The sequence below is a fragment of the Homo sapiens genome, chromosome X (assembly GCF_000001405.40).
Source record: "Homo sapiens chromosome X, GRCh38.p14 Primary Assembly".
Classification (NCBI taxonomy): Eukaryota; Metazoa; Chordata; class Mammalia; order Primates; family Hominidae; genus Homo; species Homo sapiens.
The window spans coordinates 50,788,163-50,808,886 of NC_000023.11; the positions used below are offsets into that span (position 1 = coordinate 50,788,163).

Sequence of the window (20,724 nt, forward strand, 5' to 3'; positions counted from 1 at the left end):
GTAAATTGTGACATTAATAGCATAAAGTGTGTGAAGGGGAAACTGTAGTTTTTGTATGTGATCGAAGTTAGGTTGTTAATCAGCTTAAAATAGCCTACAATAACTATAAGATATTTTAATGTAAACTCTTCTAACTACAAAGAACATACCTATTGAAAATATACACAAAAGAAAAAGAGAAATCACTCAATACAGAAATCAAAACACAAAAGAAGACATTACAAAACAAGAAAAAAGAATTATAAGACAGACGAGACCACGGTGAAACCCCGTCTCTACTAAAAAATACAAAAAATTAGCCGGGCGTGGTGGCGGGCGCCTGTAGCCCCAGCTACTCGGAGAGGCTGAGGCAGGAGAATGGCATGAACCCGGGAGGCGGAGCTTGCAGTGAGCCGAGGTCGAGCCACTGCACTCCAGCTTGGGTGACAAAGCGAGACTCCGTCTCAAAAAAAAAAAAAAAAAATTATAAGACAGAAAATAATAAGCAAAATTGGCAATACTAAGTTCTTCTCTATTAATAACTACTTTAAATATAAATGGGTTGACTCCCAAATTGAGAGATATAGAGTGAGTGAATGGATCAAAAAACAAGATCCAACTATATGCTGTCTATAAGAGATTCACTTAAGTTTTAAGGACACACAGGCTGAAAGTAAAGGAATGGACAAAGACATTCCATACAAATGCTAACCAAAAAACAGCAAGGTGGCTACACTTATATCAGACAAAATAGGCCAAAAACTGTCACAAGAGACAAAGGACAATGTGCAATGAAAAAAGGCCAATTCACAGGATGATATAAGAATTGTGAATATATATGTACACAACATTAAACCACCGAAATATATAAAGCAAACATTGACAGAACTAAAGGGAGAAATAGATAGCAATACTATAATAGTAGGAGACTTCAATATTCTACTTTCAATAGTGGATGGAACATCCAGACAGATGATCAAAAGGAAACAGTGAACTTGAACAACACTATAGATCAAATGGACCTAACAGAAACATAGAACATTCCACCCAAAGCAACAAAATATACATTCTTTTCAAGTACACACAGAACATTCTCCAGAATAGATCACATGCTAGGTCACAAAACAAACTGAAGAAGATTGAAATCATACCATGTATATTTTCTGACCACAATGGAATGAAACTAGAAATCAATATCAGAAAAAAAACTGGCAAATTCAAAAATATGTGGAAATTAAACAATACACTCCTAAATAACCAATGGGTGAAACAAAAAAATCAAAAGGGAAATTAGAAAATATTTTGAGATAAATGAAAAACAAAATAGAATGTACAAAACCGATGGAATGCAGCAAAATCAGTACCAAGAGGAAAATTATAGTGACAAATGCCTACATTAAAAAAGAAAAATCTCAAATAACCCAACTTTACACCTCAAGAAACTAGAAAAATAAGGAAAAAAAGCTAATCCCAAAGTTACTTGAAGGAAAGAAATAATAAAGATTAGAACATAAATAAACAATACAGAATAGAAAAATAATAGAAAAGATCAACAAAATGAAGTGTTAATTTTTTGAAAAGATCAACAAAATTGACAAACCTTTGGCTAGGCCAAGGAAAAAGAGAAAGATACAAATAAATTAAATCATCAATGAAAGAGAAGACATTACAACTGATACCACAATTACAATCATGCATCACCTAACGACAGGATTATGTTCTGAAAAATGTGTCATAAGGTGATTTCATCACTGTGTGACATCACAGAGTGTACTTACACAAACCTAGATGGTATAGCCTATTACACCTAGGCTATATGATAGAGCCTATTGCTCCTAGTCTACAAACCTATACAGTATCTTACTGTATTGAATATTTTATGCAATTATACCACAATGGTAAGCATTTGTGAATCTAAATATAGCTAAACATAGAAAAAGTATAGTAAAAATATGGTATTACAATCTTATGGGACCACTGTCACATAAGTGGTCTGTCATTGATTGAAACATCATTATGAGATGCATGACTGTATATGCCAACAAACTGGAAAACTTAGAAGAAATGGATAAATTTTTAGAAACATATGACTGACCAAGACTGTCACAAAGAAATAGAAAAAAATCTGAACAGACCTGTAACTAGTAAGGAGACTGAATTAGTAAATTAAAAATCTCCCAATAAAGAAAAACCCAGGAACAGATTACTTTACTGGTGAATTTTATCAAATATTTGAAAAAGAATTAATGCCAATCCTTCTCAAACGCTCCCAAAAATTGAAGAGAAGGGAACATTTCCAAACTCATTTTATGAGGCCAGCATTATACCTGATACAGATAAGGACACTACAAAAAAAGAAAACTAAAGGCCAATATCCCCAATGAAAACTGATGCGAAAATCCTCAACAAAATACCAGAAAACTGAATTCAATGGCACAGGAAAAGGATGATACTCTGTGACCAAGTGGGATTTATGTCTGGTATGCAAAGATGGTTTAACATATGCAGATCAATAAATGTGATACAACATATTAGCAGAATAAGGGATAAAAAGCACATGATCATTTTGAGATACAAAAAAAGCATTTGACAAATTCAACAGCCTTTCATAAAAAGCTCTCAACAAACTAGAAATAGAATGAAATTACCTCAACAAAATAAAGGCCATATAAGAAAACCCCACAGCTAATGTCATACTCAATGGTGAAAAGCTGAGTTTTTCCTCTAAGATCAGGAACAAGGCAAAAATGCCCACTCTTGCCACTTCTGTTCAACATAGTGCTGGAATTCTTACCCAGCATAATTAGGCAAGAAAAAATAAGTAAAGGCATCAAAATAAGAAAGAAACAAGTAAAATTATTTTTTACTTACCAGGTAACATGATCTTGTATGTTGTCAGATAACATGATCTTATACGGAGAAAATCCTAGACACTCCATAAAAAAACTGTTAGAACTAATAAATCCAGTAAAGTTACAGGATACAAAATCAACATGCAAAAATCAACAGTGTTTCTATACACTAACAATGTACTACCTCAAAAAAATAAGAAAACAATCCCATTTACTATAGCACCTAAAATAATAAAATACTTAGGAATAAATGTAACTAAGAAGGCAAAAGACTTGTATACTGAAAACTATAAAACATTGATGAAAGAAATCAAAGACACAAATAAATAAGACATTCATGCTAATGAATGCAAGACTTATTGTTAAAATGTCCATACTACCCAAAGTGATCTAGAATCAATGTAATCCCTATCAAAATCTTAATGGCATTTTTTTTTTGAGACAGGGTCTCACTCTTTTACCCAGACTGGAGTACAGTAGCATGATCAAGGCTCACTGCAGCCTTGATTGCCCAGGCTCAAGTAATCCTCCCACCTCAGCCTCCTGAGTAGCTGGGACTACAGGCATGTGCTACCATGCCTGACTTTTTTTTTTTTTTTTTTTTTTTTTTTGTAGAAACAAGGTCTCACTATGTTGTCCAGGCTGGTCTTGGAATCCTAGGTTCAAGCAATCCTCTTGCCTCAATCTCCAAAAGTGCTGGGACCCTAGTGGCATTTTTTACAGAAATAGGAAAAAAAAATCTCTACAATTCAGAGGGAATTGCAAAGAACTTCAAATAGCCAAAACAATCTTATAAAAGAAAAAGCTGGATTCCCTGATTTCAATTGATATTGCAAAGTTATAGTAATCAACAGTATGTACATATAGAGCAAGGGCACAGAAGAGACAGCCCCAAAATAAACCCACCCATATACGACCAAGTGATCTTTGAGAAGGGTATCAAGACTACAAAATGGGGAAAGTATAGTCTCTTCAATGAATGGTATGGGAAAACTGGATATCAAACCACTTTCTTACACCATATGCATACACATAAGACCTGAAACTGCAAAACTTGTAGAAGAAAATGTGAGGGAAAAGGCTCTTGACATTAGTCTTGGCCATGGGTTCTTGAATATGATACTAAAAGCACAGGCAACAAAAGCAAAAATAAACAAGTGGGACAACATCAAACTAAAAGGCTTCTGCACAACTAACGAATCTTTTAACACAGTGAAAAGGTAGGCTGGGCATGGTGGCTCACGCCTGTAATTCCAGCACTTTGGGAGGCCGAGGCTGGTGGATCACCCGAGGTCAGGAGTTCGAGACCAGTCTGGCCAACATGGTGAAACCCCATCTCTACTAAAAATACAAAAAAAGAAAATTAGCCAAGTGTGGTGGTGAACACCTGTAATCCCAGCTATTTGGGAGGCTGAGGCAGGAGAATCGCTTGAACCCGGGCAGCAGAGGTTACAGTGAGCTGAGATCATGCCACTGCACTCCAGTCTGGGTGACAGAGCAAGACTCTCTCTCAGGAAAAAAAAAAAAGAAAAGGCAGCCTATGGAATGGAAGAAAATATTTGCAAAGCATTTATCTGATAAAGGGTTAATATCCAAAACATATAAGGAACTTATACAACTCAACAGCATAATAACAAAATCCAGTTAAAAATGGGCAAAGGACTTGAGTAAACATTTCTCCAAATAAGACACATAAACAGCCAACAGGACCATGAAAAGATGCTCAACATCACTAATCATTAAGGAAATGCAAGTCAAAACCACAATGAGATATCACCTGACACCTATTAGGATGGCCATTTTTTTTGAGAAAAGATAAGTGTTGGATACGGAGAAACTGGAACACTTGTACACCATGGGTAGGAATGTAAAATGGTGCCACTGCTATGGAAAACAGTATGGAGGTTCCTCAAAAAATTAATACTAGAACTACATACTAGATCCAGCATTCCCATTTCTGGGTATTCATCTAAAAGAAATCAGGATCTTGAAAACATATTTAAAACCCCATGTTCATTGGAGCATTGTTTATAATAACCAAGATGTAGAATCAACCTAAATGTCCATGGATGAAAGAATAAAGAAAATGTGGCATAAGACACAATGAAATATCATTCCAGAGGAAATCTTCCAATATGCAACAACATAGATAAGTCTGGAGGACATTATGCTAAATGAAATAAGCTGGTCACAGAAGGACAAATATTGCATAATTTTGCTTATATGACGTACCTAAAATAGCCAAACTCAGAAGCAGAGAGTAGAATGTTGGTTGCCAGGAGCCAGGGGGAGAGGGAAATGGGGAGTTGCTATTCAAGGGGTATAAAGTTTCAGTAATACAAGATGAAGATGTTCTACAAATCTGCTGTACAACATTGTGCCTATGGTTAACAGTGTGGTATTGTGAACTTAAAATCCTGTTAAAATTGTAGCTCTCATGTTAAATGTTCTCACTACAATAAAAAGTAAGTTAGATGAATGTAAAATTTTAACAAGACATATGAATATACTTTCTGACATCGAAAATACAAAAGTAAAGACTGGAGAAAAAAATCAGTATCATTGCTTTTTAGTCAAATTTTATCTAGTAGGCACAACCCATTTTGGAAGAGGAGACTATCTAATGACTCCCAGACCCTTCTAATCCTGAAGATTTTAGTAAAAACAATAAAGGGTCATGAATGCTGCACGCTAATGTATATTGCAGTAACTAGTATCACCCTTCTGGAGAACAGATTTCAGGTGATATCTAAAAGAAAAGAAAAAAGAGGGGTTACTAACTTTGGCTTTTTTGAATGATGAAATTAAAGCAGGGCTACCTGGCCTTAAGTCTTTCAATAGTTAAAAACTAATCTTGGGGCTTTTTAATTCATTTAAGAAGTCATAACCATTATACAAGAAAGTAGAAGGAAAAAAAAAGATGTGTGGTTCCCATATGGTTCAGTAATAATCACAACCAGTCTATGACTTCCTTAAAGAGTCTGATGAAATATGTGAAGGGAGAAAAAAAGGGGCCCTGTGAAAGTTGTATGGGTTGGGGTGGGGGTTGATGAAGATATTATGGGGCCAGAGAGAGAAATCAAGAGCACATTTTGTACTTTACAAAACCAAGTTAGACACCCTGAGGTAGGTGGCTTATACTTATGTAAAATACCAGCCAGTGCATCAACATAAATTTGTAAAGTAACCACTAATGATTTATAGTCAATGCTTAGTGAACTAGAACACTGCAACTGGAGCTATTTAACTTTTTTTAACTTCTGAAATATAATTAAATTGGTACACATTGAATTAACAGTACCGTGATCCTTCAGAGAATGATGTGTTACCCGCTGAATTAGCCTGTCTGGGTAGTAAATCATGTTGTTGTCTAACATGCTAGATGAGCATATCTCACTCGAACAGAGAGCTTGGCAAATTTTAGACAGAACTCATTTACAAAATACACATGGGAAACTACAATCACTATGAAATTAAGAGAAGAAATAGAAGAGAAGGAGGAGGTTGGGGGAGGGATGTTCTGCAGGACGCAGCATTTTAAAGAGACTTTCTTAGCACAGAAGACAAGGAAGCTTTGCACTCAAAAAACTGTCCCTCCAACTACCCAACCACCCTCCATCATTCTCTCTCTGACACACACAAACACACACACATACACACACACACACACACACACTAAAATTCACAGTCTCTAGATTCACAATCTCTAGATTGTGTGGTGAGGTACCTACCTACCTATTTATCTACCTAGCATAGTAATACATGTTAAGGACAAGGAAGAGAGGAGATCAGAAGTTATAAATATTAAGGAAGTCAGATCACAGATAAGGGATGTAATGAAATTTCTTTTTAATATTGTTCCTCATTTGGCTCCCAGTATATATATGTATGAATATGTGTATAAATGTGTATATATATATATATATATGTGTATGTGTCTATAAATATATATAAATATAGGTGTGTGCATATATATATATCTCATACATGATATATGTTGGATAACAACATCTTTATATATATCTTTATATATATCATATATATCTCATATATATATGATATATATATGATATATATATATGATATATATATATGATATATATATATGATATATATATATGATATATATATATGATATATATATATATATATGATATATATATATATATATATGATATATATATATATAAAACCATGGATAACAACACTTGTTTTCTGGCCCTGAGAGTACCTGGGAACAAATGTGCAAAACTATTGGGCAATAAACAGAAATGAATTAATAGCCTAAGAAAGAAAGAATTTAGAGCCAGATTTAGAAAGAGGAGATTCATACAAACTCAAAAAGAAGAAATCTCAAGTCTTTCAGAAGTTCCTAAAGCCTAGCTCTACTTGTTAAATGCTCTATGGAACAGATTTGGGGTTAAAAGCCTAATCCAGCAGTTTATGTCTGTGGGCCCTGCCCTCAAGGAGCATATCCCATGAAGTATATAAAACAAGCATGCCCAGCTCATTAGAAAGAACATGGTGAGCACCAGATGGAAGATGGGGTAGAATGGGACCAGAAGGAAGGGTAATTTCTGATGGGCTTCAAGGAACAGGTAAGATTTAGTCAGGTAGCTGGGACTAGAAATGCATTTTAAGAAACCATGATAACAAGTCACTGGGCATATTCAGAAAATTATTGTCACATTTGAGGCTGACTGTGTATGGCAGTGATTATGGGTATGTGCTCTGGAGATAGCCTTTCTGGGTTAAAATCCTAGCTCTACCATTTACTAACTGTGAGACTCTGGGTAAACCATTTGGATTTCCATATGCCTCATTTTCTTTCTCTATAAAATGGGGAAGAATAATAGAAACATATATAGTTGCCATGTGGATTAAATAATACATGTAAAATCACTTAGAACAGTGGCATCCAATAAGTGCTGAATAAATATTAGCTATTTTTTAAAATGTGGATGAAGTGCAAAGGAAGTATCCATGATTTCAGCCTACAGGGGAAGATAGGAGCCATATTTCTGGAGAACTTCGGATGCCAGACCTGAGGGGTTTGAACTTAAATCAAGATGAAGCAAGTTTTTAATAATAGAGTATCATAAAGGCAGATCAGTTGGTGTCAGTTTGTGGTAGGAGATATAGAACAACTCTTGCTATCTGACAATACAAAGGGCTGGCTTATGAGATAATGTTCTCCATCAATGGAAGCATTCAAAAGAACAGTCTGACCAACCAAATTCAAGGGTGTTATTAATGGCACTCAGGCAGCAGGTTAGTGTTGGTCAGCTTGGATGGCCTGCCTCTAAGATTCCTTTCAACTGTAAGTTAATTTAGGATAAAGACTCTAGGACCAATATGGAAGAAAGATTTTTTCAAGGCACTGCTGGGAGCATGGAGCCATAGCAACAATTCAAGTGAAAGAGAACAGTACAGAGAGTGGAAATGGTGGGAGGTGGGGAGACACTGGGAAGATTTCTGGTCTAGAATGTTAGAGGTGGAAAGGATGGAGTTCTGGTCTAGAATGTCGGAGGTGGAAGGAATGGTAGGGCTAGGATTTTAACCCACCTCTGAGATGAACCAGTCAGTCCAGCTTCCTCATTGTATAGAAAGGGAAACTAAAATTCTTGGATAGAAGAAGTGTCTTATAAGATAAATTTAACAGGAGTGATCTTAGAAGCAGGGAAGCCAGCCAGGAATCCAGAAACCAGACATAAAGTAATAAGAGCTTGGAAGAGGGTAGGAGTAGCAGGAATTGAAAAGAAGCAGGTGGATATGAGGGCTATTGTAAAGGAAGCAAGACTGACAGAATGTGGGATATGGGATGAGTAAGCAATGACTCCATGATTTTAATGCTAGCTGAGTGGGGAAGCCAAGGAAAGAGCCCATTTTACAAGGGGAAGATAAGTTCCATTTTAGACATACTGGGGTATGAGGTAAAAAAGAAATATTCCAGTGAATACTATCAGACAGTGGAAAAGATTAAGACTAGAGATTCAGGAGTTATGAGATCTCATCGTTGCTTTCTTGAGGAAAAGAGGAGAGGGGGAAAGGATGGGGGGAGGGAGAATAGGGAAAGAAGAAACAGAGAAAAGAGTGCGGGGGGAGGGACTGAGTGCTGAGCCTTGAGGAATATCCACAGGATAGAGATAAGAGAGGCAGTCGATTTACAGAGGAGAATGGAGAAACAGCAAGAGAAGATGCAGAAACAGGAGAGTTCAGTATTACAGGAGCTATACTGGCAGCAGAGTTTGGAGAAGGTCGAGTCTGAATGGTTTGGAAACAATGCCAATGACTAGCAATACTAAGAACTGTTTAAATAATTAAATACAATGTGGCTGTTAAAAAATAGAGATAACCTTCTGTATGCTTGATAGGGAAAGATCTCTAGGATATGTAAGTGAAAAAAGCGAAGTGCAAAAGATTGTTTTAGTATGCTACCTTTTGTATAAAAGGCAAAATAAAGAATCTATATTGACATTTGCTTGTGTATGTATAGAGAGGCTCTGAAAAGACACACAGAAATATCTAAGCACAGTGGGAGGTAGTGGTGAAACTGGACAGATGAGAGACAAGGATGACTGGGAAACTATTCTCCGCCTTTTCATACTAACTACCTTTTAAACCACATAACTACATTACCTATTCAACAAATTATTGAAAAACAATAATTGTATAGAGAAAACAAGGATGATGAAAACAGTGAGAAGGCCAGTATATTTGGCCCTCAGGAAGACCTCATTGGAAGCCAGATTGGAGAGGATTCAGGAAGACAGGCAGTGAGGAAACAGAGACACTGAGCATGCACGTATATGAGCATATACAACATGCCTACATATAATGTATCTTTGGAAGGGTGTCTTTGGAAGAGTACACAAGGAATTGGTAACAGTGATTGCCACTGGGAAGGGAAATTAGGTGGTTTAGGGACATGAATGAAGAAAGATGTACCCATTTATATAGTTTTAAAAATTTTGTTCCATGAACATTTATCATCTATCCCCAAAATAAACATTTAAATAAATAAATTGTGCTAGAAGAGAAGGAAGGAGGGGAGAGGGAGAGAGGGAGGCCACCCCTCACTTAAAAAAAATTTATTGACAGAGAGGGCAGTAAGAAGGGTAGGTTTGTAGGGGCCGAGAGGGTCAAGTCTGGTTTTTTGTTTATTGCTTACTCCCCTTCTAGTTTGGGAGGCAACAAGAGCATGGGAAAGAACAGGCACTCTAAAATCAGATAAACTGGATTTTGAATACCAGCCCTGCCAGTTACTGGTCCAATGAATTCTGGAAAGTTACTTCCCTCTTAGCCTCAATTTCTGCATCTTGGAATAGGGACACTACTAAGTACCTCTTCGTGCATTATATTATTTCATCCTCAGAGTCTAATCTGTGTTTTTTAACAAGCTTCCCAGCAAAGTTGTAAACTGACTGATCTGTGAAACCCACGTTTTCCAATGCTATGAAACACAGAATATAGTCATCATAGTTAACAGTGGTATTAAAAAGACAATATGAAACACAGAAAGGGGCTTTGGGGCTGAAGTAAAATTTTAAGGTATAGTAGGACAAGCATAGGATTTGGGGTCAGGTAGAGTTGAGTTCAAATCACAGCTCTACCACTTACTGGCTTGGTTACTTGGAGAACATTACTTTGCCCCTCTGAACCTCATTATTTTCATCTGTAAAATAGGAATACTACTACTTAATTTACAGTAAGTAGAGATGAGAAGATTAGAGAGTATGCATATAAAATTCCCAGAACAAAATATGCATCTAATTAATGGTAACTCTGACGATCACCAGCCCGGAGTTAGGGTTCCCAAGCACATAAAAACAGCAATGCCAATTTTCTACTGTGCATTTCCATTCCCTTGACCCTCCGAACCAGGCCTGAAAACATAAAAGCACACGAGCTATCCCTTTGATTTTTCAAGCACCTATGAGGTCACCCAAAGAATTCCCTCCTGCCCTTTGAACCTTTAACTCATTCTCAAATGATTTACTGGCTGCCTGGCCTCCAAATGACCATGCTAGCAGCCATGTCCTTCCTATCTGAGGCTCTGTCCCTTTGATAACAACAGTGCCTCTGATGGGGTTTACCATTCCCACACTCTATGAGCCTGCTTCTAAGACAAAATTTTCAATCTTGGAAGGACTTAATACAAACAACAGTAAGGAGGAAGCTAACATTCTCTGCTTCTCTCACCAATGCCTGCAAAGGCTGGATCATCTCCTCTCTAAGGCTTTCTCAGTTTGTTTGTACTCCTTTCATACTTATTGTGATTGTGCTAAGGCCCTTTCGAGGCCTGTTCCTAAAGTCATTCCAGTGGGTGAACTCTCCAACAGTATCCTGGACAGGAACAAACTAAGAGAAGCCCTATAGTGTGTCTTTTAAACTGTCACAGTACTACTACTGTGAATTTCAACCTGTTCCCTTTAGTGCCCTTACATAACCTAATTGACTGCCACAGAGACAGTTAACCACCAATGAGATTAGACCCCATTTGGAAGGAAGACAGAGTGAGTTCCCTTTGGCCCTTCTCAGCATTCTCAGCTTTGAGTAAAATAGGGAGAATAGCAATATCATGGTCAAATAATAAGGACACTTAAGACACTGGGTATAAATACCAGACAGTGACTCACATCCAAGGCCAGTCAGACACAACATGTCAGAGCTTGCTTAAGAAAAAGTGAAAACACATGCATATACATTCACACATACACACACAGAGTGTGTTCACCCAAAGCTACTGCCTCTCAGCTAAAGCAGTGAAACACTTGAGTTTCACTGAAGACACACACTACACCCACCTTAAACACATAGCAACAAGTGGGATGGCTGTTGTTTTAAGAGTCTCACAGCAACGCGTCCCAACACCATAGGAAATGCTGCAATCATCAGCCAGCCGGCCTCTCCCACATGCAAACCTCGGAACACAGCTTACACACAGGAACTCCAGCAGCAGCATGAAATTCAACTGTTATAAACCAAACTTCAGGCAGCCTGGGGACAAGCAGGTAGCCAACCCCATCCTCTACTGCTCCTTCTCATCCTGGGTTGCCTCTGGGATCCTTCTCAACTTCTGTCCCCAACATTATTTTCTTCTAAGTGTTCCCTCTGCCTCTAGTTCCCATGTGTGTGTCATTCAAGGCTCACCCCACTTAGGTGGGGTGTCACACAAAGTTTGGGAAACTTGGCCAGTATATCCAGATCATCTAGTCATATTCTCTAATTTAGGCTTGGAAGTGGAAAGGGGAAAGATTACCAATCACGGAGTAAAAAATTTTTGCTTGACTCTTCTTACATATTATCTAAACCAGCAAACCATGATGGAGAGTCTACTCTGTGCTGACTATGGAAAATATATAGAAGATACAGCCATTGTCGTCTAGAAGATCTTGATCCAGCAAACCAAACACAAGACAGCCAAAGTACCCAAAGACAGCTACTGGAAAATCAGAACTCCGGCATTTCAGAGGGGAGGTTCTGATTGCTTCCACCAGGAGCAATCAAAGATGATGCCCTAGAGGCTTAGAGGTAGGGCTTGAAGGTTAGGTCCTATGGAGAGGGCCAGAGAAGTGAGAAGTCCTTCCAAGGATGCAGTGTGAAGTCTAGCCACTGGAAAGAACATCATGGTGAGAAAATCGGAGGCCAGAATTTCCCAGGTGGGTTTGGGGAACAGAGAGGTAACCGTTCTGCCTGAAAACCTGGGGCCTGGAAGGATTGCTAAGACTGGAGCCAGATGGAGAATGGTCTGTAATACCAGGCAAAAGTAGTTTGGGCTCTATTCTACAGGCAGCAGGGAACCATTAAATAATTTTAAGGGAGGGAGGAGGGGATGATCAAAGGGAAAGAAACCATTGAGGAGGCCACTACAGTAGTGTAGTTGTTCCAGAATGAGGCTTCTTCCTGCCTGTCCCAGCTCTTGCAAGATCCTCCTTCAAAGCTGCCCTTTCCCATCTGAGCTCACTAAGAGCTCATTACTATGCAACTCTTTTGAGTTGAGAGATATATCAATGATGTTTCTTATTCTGAATGAGGCTCCTAATGTTGTACTGAAGTTGGGTCAAGGGCTTGAAAAAAAACAGAAGCTTCATCTGAATCTCCCAGTTTAGATGAAAGGGAAGTATGATACATTATTTCCATTGCTGCAACAGAATCAGTTGGCTTGATCCCTGGGGTCACTGGTCTCCTCTAAGATGCCAACGTGGTAGGGAAAGGAGGGAAGGGGAGAGGGAGAAGGAGGGAGGGAAGGAGAGAGAGAGAAAGAGGAGAGAGAGAGAGAGAGAGAGAGAGAGAGAACACGTACTGCCAGCATGGGGCAAAACCTGATTGTCAAGTGCTTTTCTGGGGCCTGTTCCAGATCACTGTCACTTATAGACTTAGACTAAAGTTCAGCCTTAAATTAGGGCTCCAAGCTAGGGGATGGGAGATGGAAGGGCCCCACCTGGGTCTTAGCAGTGGGAATTAACTCTCCCTGATCCTTAATTATTTTGGCTTTTATTAGTGGCTAGATGGGGAGAGGGATGTAACCTGAACCCTAATGCAGCTGAGAAGGGCTAAGAGCCAAAACCCTCTTTAAGCAGATACAGTATGTGCAAGGTCTGGGCAGGTTTCAGAACACTGCACTTTTCTTCAGCCAAAGGCATGGGAAAAACACGCAAATTACATCTTGAGCCCCTTACCTCCAGAAAAGGAGAGTATCAGCCTCCCACCAGGGCTCACGCAACAGAGGGAAGTTAGCAAGCAGGCGCTTGTAAAAATCAGAGCACTTGGGCAATCTTTTACACAAAAATCTCCCCAGCAGCTACAGATTCAAATCAATTTCAAATATAAATTACAAGCTATTTCATGTTGTTAGAGAGAGGAGCTAGGTAAAGGAACCCATGTGGTCATTAGCCTTTTAGCAAGAAGTGACTTTAGTCTACAAGAAGGTAGGGAAGGAGTTAATTTAGACCAGGTTGCATGGCATAAGCATCTTTACAACATTCGGATTTTCAGTTCTTCACCATGTAGAAAATCGGGTGATGTTGCACAAAAGTGGCAACGGAAAGGCATTCCAAGAAGTGATTCCTATCACTTCAAGTTCTAAGTTATACAAAATGAACTTTAGCCAGTAACACCTCAGTTGACAAAGCATCCCACAGATTGGAGGAGATAGCAAGACAAAGCTATGGCCAGGAAAGCCCATTAAATAACAATGCAGGTCTGTTCTACTATCTTTGGGGCATAAGATTGTCTGGCAATTAACTCGTTTCCACAACAACCAGTAGATTAGTAAATTGTCTGTGTTGATCATTATGTTCCTAAAATAATGCTTTGTTGTTTTAACTGATCAGTGGCTTTAAATAAACATGCTCCCCAACTGCCTAGGGACTTTTTGATTGGCCTACAGACACTTCAGTCTCAGAAGATCCAAAACTGAACTAAACCTGGTTGGTCTTCCCAATTCCCATAATCTCTCAGAGCCTTCTAGATTTTACATATTAGATTAATCCCTGACTCCTACCTCTTCTTCATTTCTTCAATGGTATGCATTATCACTAACTTCTGGCAACTCACTAATGTATGACAAGTCAGCAAATTGCCAAGATGGGCTGATTCCTTCAAAATGACCTTACCTATCTATTGTTCAGTTCAGGTCTTTCCTCATGGAAGCAATTATGTGACTGGTACTGTGCTAGGTGCTTTATTCTTGAGATCAGATGAGATCGGACAGGTTCAGGGTGGTATGACCATAGACTAGGTGCCTTATTCTTAATACACTGATTATCCAAACCACAAAATGGCTACCTACTTCCAACTTGCATCCATTCTATAGCCCAGTTTTCTGGGGTATCCAGAATACCTGGCTCAAATCCATTCACCTTTATATCCCACTAGTCTGCAAGAATCAAGAAGATCTCCACTGACTCACTTATGTAGCCATCCACACAAGCAATATGACATTGGGCAAGTCACCTAATCTTTCTTCAATTTCCTCATGTGTAAAATGGAGTTAATAAATTAGCTAACATGGTGAAACCCCATCTCTACTAAAAATACAAAAATTAGCCAGGTGTGGTGGCACACGCCTGTAGTCCCAGCTACTCGGGAGGCTGAGGTAGGAGAATCGCTTGAACCCGGGAGGCGGAGGTTGCAGTGAGCCGAGATCACGCCACTGCACTCCAGCCTGGCAACAGAGAGAGACTCCGTCTCAAAAAATAAAATAAAAGAGCTAATATGTGTTAAGTTAGAAAACTAGTGCCCAGAATATGCACTATAAAGTATTTGTTAGAAAACAAATAAAAGTGACATCTATGGAGCTCTGTGCTGGTTTCATTGGCCATAGGAAGAATAGCTCAGCTCCTAGAACAGGCACTCAATAAAATTTAATGAATGAATTAATAAGTGGATAAATGAACAAACACTACATGCTCTGCCCTTATGCTGTTAGTCAACACACTGTGGAGTGAACAAACTGGTCTCAGTCTTCTGTCTGTGTCTTTAGGACATGCAGTGCTTGTAGTAACTGGAATCAACGTCCTTCTTCCTCCCAGGCCTACCTACCTAAATCCTGTATTATCCCTCAAGGCCTAGCTCCAATTCTTCCTTTTTTCACAAAACACCCAGCTACATCAGCCCACAATGAAATCTCTTCCCACTGAATAAATGTTGCTCTTAGATCCTACCCCACAGTTTCAGTACTTAAAGCTTTTTGTTTCCTGGGCTTATAGTAATGCAGCTCTTCAACAAAACTGTCATCTCTTTTGAGAATCCAGAAACCAGGTCTTCTATGGTGGCTAACTCTTGTATTCTCTAGTTTAGGGTTAGGCACTTTACAAAGTGCTCAACAAATCTGTGTTGACTGGTTGGTTGGTTAGTTGATCAGTTGATTGATTGATTGATTGATTGATTGGAGGCCTAACTGAGAGCTCTTAAGATGTTAGCCTTTCAAAGTGCTGGCTGTTCAGACATTAGCAGAAATCATGGCTGGTCTTCCAACTTTTTGCAGTAGCAGACATTACACGAAAGCTGCCCTGCCATTTCACATAATTCCCAATGATTAGGTAACTTCATACACTTCAATTTTTAGGCTCAAAATTTTCTTAAGAGAATTCCTGTTTAATAAGGGACACCTGTGGAATGCGCTTGCTTGCTTTCTTACATCACATATACTGCTAATAATAATATGAAATAAATGATAAAATGAATCTCTCTCCCTACTGGACAACAGCGCAGGTTGTATTACTCTCATTTTGCAAATAGGGCAATTGAGATAGAGAGATGAAAATGACTTCCCAGGGTCACACAAATGAAGAGTGGCAGAGTTGGGACTAAACTTTAGGCTTTCTGAATACCGACCCAGTCCCCTTACCTTGATTTGAGATTTAAAACAAAACAAAGACCTTCCTTTGACCCTGACCTCTGAGGAATAGATACTCATAATATTATCAGTTTCTGCATCAAATTTCATTTCCCTCATTTCCCTCCCTCCGTCTGTCCCCCAACCTCTCATTCTTATCTAGTTCTCTTCTATTTCTCTGTCTTTCACCTGTGTAAACACACTATTTTAGAAAGAGCATGGGATTTGAAGTTGGACAGAAGTAAATTTGAATGTCAGTTGTCCCACTTACTATATGACTTAGAGTCTTTCACTTAACTTCTCCTGAGTCTCGGTTCTTCATCTGCACAATGGAGACATTAATATCTGGCCTCAAAGAGTTACTGTAAAAGTTAAATGAAAATACATGTAAAACACCTAGAAAATAGCAGTATTTGCTATACAGCGGTCCACTACCTCTCCGATCCCACCATGTCTAGGCTTTGACCACCTTTGGGTTCAAGAGGTTACTGAACTCAATGAGGCACAGCCACACAACTGAAGTATCCAAATCCTTGCCTGGTCTACTTTTGCTTGTTGTCTTGATCCTTCCTGATCGCCAATTTAAGTTAATACAGAGCTCCAAACTCTTGTCAAATCCTCTACAGAATGTGAGAGTCAAGCCTGATACTTACCCCCTGAAGCTTCAAGATGTCATCACTCACACTCTCAGTCAGAGTAAGATGCCATCCAAAGCTGCCTACCTGTAGAATTTTTCAGGGTGGCTTTTACTTATATCAAACACAAACAAAAAGAAATGGAAAACAGCAAGGCAGCCCAACAAAGACAAGGCTTTAGCTTGTCATCCTCTCATAAGTAAAGATGGGGCTACAGCCATAAGACTCTAACTCCTTTCCAGAATAACTAGTCAAACCAGCTTTACTTCTAGCTCTACCTCATCTCACCTCCAACCCCCTCCCCGAAACGAAAAATCAGTTTCTTATGGACCGTGAAAGGCAGTATAGGAGAACCATTGAAAACTTCCCTGCCAGAGGCTCAGGAAAAAAGAGAGAAGATCATACAGCTAGGAAACTGTTGAGTGGCATTAGGGTGGGGGACAGAAGACACCACAAAGGGGCTGTTCGTAACTGGGCTTAACCCTTGATCCTGTCAAATTAGTCCCACCTCCCGCATTCCTCACAGATGTAACATTAAAAGAGTTGAGTGAAAGTTAACAGACCATGTCCTCCCTGAGAACATACCAGGAAACAGCCACTTCTAGAAAGATAGGAAGTAGGAGTGTGGAGAAAAGCAATGCACTCCAAGAGCTGCCTGCTGTCAGTCAGCCTTCACACTTCCACAGCCTAGACCAAGTAAGGGTCCTTAGCAACCCTTCAGTAAAGCAAGAACTTGTCCCATGGAGGGTATGAGAAGAAACAGGAGGGTGTGGAGAGCCAAAGTAGCATGCCATGATTATTCAGCAAGTTGATAAAAGAATATAAGAACAGAGATTCTGTCCATCACTGAAACAGGATAGAGAGAGATGCAGTGTGAGGAAATTTCCCTCTGATTCTGTTATGATTTGCTGATTGTTTTCAAACCTATCAACCTCAACTCTGTGAGCTTCTCTCTCCCTCCTCCCTACCCACCACCCCTCCCCGCCACCACTGGAAGCATGGCTGAGCCAAGAGGGACAAAGCTGGTACAGCAGACTAGAAGGGCTCACTGTGACCAAAAAAGAAAAAAAAGTTGGGTTTTGGACAGAGGGCAGGGCAGTCAATGAATGAACAAAGGGGCAATGGCACTTGAATGAGACGGTCCAAAATGTAGGCCTCAAGCAACTGGTGCTCTTGGGTGGGGGATGGGAACTAAAGACTTGACATGAAAGAAGGACAGCCTAGATGCATGGAAAATGTGTCTCTGTTGCTACTAGGCAGTACTTGTGTTGCGATATGGTACAGTCATAGATTCACAGTGAAAGAGGAGGATGTGGATGTGAAGTCAAAGGGGAGAGGTTAGAGCTCACTTTGAAAGATCAAGTCATCTTGACTTTTGCAACTTCAGTGCGTGGCCAGGATGGCTATCTGACCAAGCAAACATGCCAGTGTGATGTGAGGAAGAATGGATCATCCGTTGCAACACTAATGCGTAAGACAATTTTTCCACTTGGCCTATTTACACTGGATAGGGCAAAGAGGTATAAGGAGACAAACCTCTACCCCTTCCCAGTCCTTGGAACCCAATCTTTAGCCATAAAAAATAGTAACTCAACTTATTCATTAATGATTTTATTGAATTATGTGTGAAGGGAGTATATCTCAGGGAGCACCAGGAGACAAAATTTTGGCTCCATGGAAGCTGAGTGAAAGTGATCTTGATACCGACATAACCAATATAAAAACGTTACTTGCTGATTACAAGATAACTCTCAGGGAAACCTGGAATTCCGTTTCAGAGGGAAATGTAACCATGCACACACATCTGGTCCCAGCATCAAAGGTATGAACACCTTGGGCACTAATGGTAGCAGAATCCCAAACTCCCCCAGAACTGTGTAACAGAGCTATCTAGAGCACTTTTTGTTCCTAACTTATGAATGCATTGTTTCCCAAGAATATCTTCTATAAATAAGCAGCTTGGAGCTTTGAATTCTGTTTCCTGTAGATAGGACATTATAAATGATGGTTAGGTTGTGTAATTTAATCAATGATACACTATGGATTAAATAGGCTTCTCCAGAACTGTTCTGAATGTAACCATTATAAATAACATTGTGTCAGTGAAGACACGTTTCCTAGACCTCTACACTCTCTTCCTCAGACCCCTTACCCTTCAGTAATAATATAGATTAAGCCCCACTCCAATCCACTCCCTGATCGAGGCTTTAGTAGTAACGAAAGATATTTTTCCAGCTCAGATGACAACTGGTAAATGTGGGGAGATGGGGAGAAAGAGGCTGTGGATGCAAGACCTCCAGCAGGAGTCACTCTTGTGTGTATTCCAGGTACAGACAGAAGAACCCAGAGCTGAAGGATGGCAGCAACAGCAGGGGCTTTTCCAATCAGTGTCAGTGGAGGTATGCAGGGAAATATATATCTGACAGTGGATAGGGACAGAGACTGCTGTCTCTATATTCCTACATAGGGGCTCTGTAAATTGAAGAGTGTATGGCACATATGGTTAGCATCTTCAATCTTGGAGACAACTATTCTTTCCAGAAGGGGAAAAAATTAAGTTCAGAGAGGTAAAAAGGAAATAAAAAAGATCTGGAATTCTGACTTTGACACTATTCATTAAATGCCATTTCCTTCTTCTATTATACAAATTCCTTCTCTGTAACTTAATAATCTCTTTGTTTAAACATACATGTTCCTTGAAGTCAGGGCTTATATCTTCTCTCTCATCTCCCCTACGATGCATTTACCAAGGCTGGCCAGGGCTAGGGGCAGAGGCAATTCTAAATAAATAGTAGGAGATGAAATGTGTCCCTCCCAAATCTATTATGTGGCTGTCCCAGATGCCTTCATAGAGGCCTTAGGCAGGTATGGCTTAATAGCAGCACAGCTACTTCCATTAAAAGATTTTGACACAGGGCCTTGGTATGACATGGCCGCCAGAAAGAGCCAAAGTGATCTTCAGCTGTATTTTTTTAAAGAATGTTCATACTCAACTGTGGTCAGATTCTCCTCAGTTACAGTATTCAGCTGTGGGATCCATAACTTAAGAGGAACATGGACAAGCTGAAGTGCATCATGAGTGGGAGGAGGAAACAGGAGGAGAGGCTGGAATCTACATCCCATAAGGAACAGCTGAAAGAGCTAGGGCTCTGCTAGAAAAGTGAAACAAGATGATATAATATTTGCCTTCAGATATCCCAAGGGCTGTCCCAAGACAGAGGAAGCACCCTTGTTCTGTGTGATGCTATCCAGAGGATACAGCTAGGACCCATGGATGATCGCTAAAAGGAAAACGATTGCAGCTTAACAAAGGAAAAGCTGTCCACAGTCAAAACTTTCCAGCAACAGAATGGATAGGCTTAGAAGGGAATGAGCTCCCCTGTGACTACTGTAGAACAAGCTCAGGGACACTGCACAGGAGGCTCATGAAATGGTTAAGATTAGACTAGGTGACTTCTAAAAGGCTCTCTTTACTCTGAGATTCTTTGATTCTAGGTCTCTACCAAGAACAGAATTACTCTGGGAGCACTGAGTTAAGTCTGCCCCTTGGTGCTTGAGGGGTAGAGGGGCAGGCAGTGAGAGCAGCCCTTCCCATAATCCCTGCTGTTCTTCATTAACTTTTCTCAGATGGGTCAGCATCTTTTTTCCCTTAGTTCTAAAGAAGTCTAACTATAAAAGCCATGATGTTCCCTCCAGATAATCATCCATAACCTCCAATCTCAAGTCTGAGTCTCTCTTTTTTCTTTAAAGAAATTCCTGGGGAGGGGGTTGGGGAAGGCAAGGGGGGAAATCATTTTAATTTTTTTAAGGGACAATGGAGTTGAATTATTTTCTTTGTGTGAAGTTTTGGAGAGGGAAAATCCTCTAATAGGCTTGACCTTTTTTAACTTCAGCAAGCATACATGTGGCTCTCAAT

At 39.5% G+C, this 20,724-nt stretch overlaps 1 protein-coding gene across 14 annotated transcripts in view, besides 2 other annotated features; it reads right to left on the reverse strand.

Moving 5' to 3' along the window:
* Window positions 1-20,724, reverse strand: part of SHROOM4 (shroom family member 4) — a 238,661-nt gene that overhangs the window by 212,629 nt on the left and 5,308 nt on the right. The window lies entirely within an intron of this gene.
* Window positions 10,587-10,881: an enhancer, noted in NCBI's record as "tiled region #11230; HepG2 Activating DNase matched - State 9:DNaseU". NCBI's record gives its function as "activates a minimal TATA promoter and a strong SV40 promoter by Sharpr-MPRA in HepG2 cells {active_cell/tissue: HepG2}" and the evidence as "EXISTENCE:reporter gene assay evidence [ECO:0000049][PMID:27701403]".
* Window positions 10,587-10,881: a silencer, noted in NCBI's record as "tiled region #11230; K562 Repressive non-DNase unmatched - State 24:Quies". NCBI's record gives its function as "represses a minimal TATA promoter and a strong SV40 promoter by Sharpr-MPRA in K562 cells {active_cell/tissue: K562}" and the evidence as "EXISTENCE:reporter gene assay evidence [ECO:0000049][PMID:27701403]".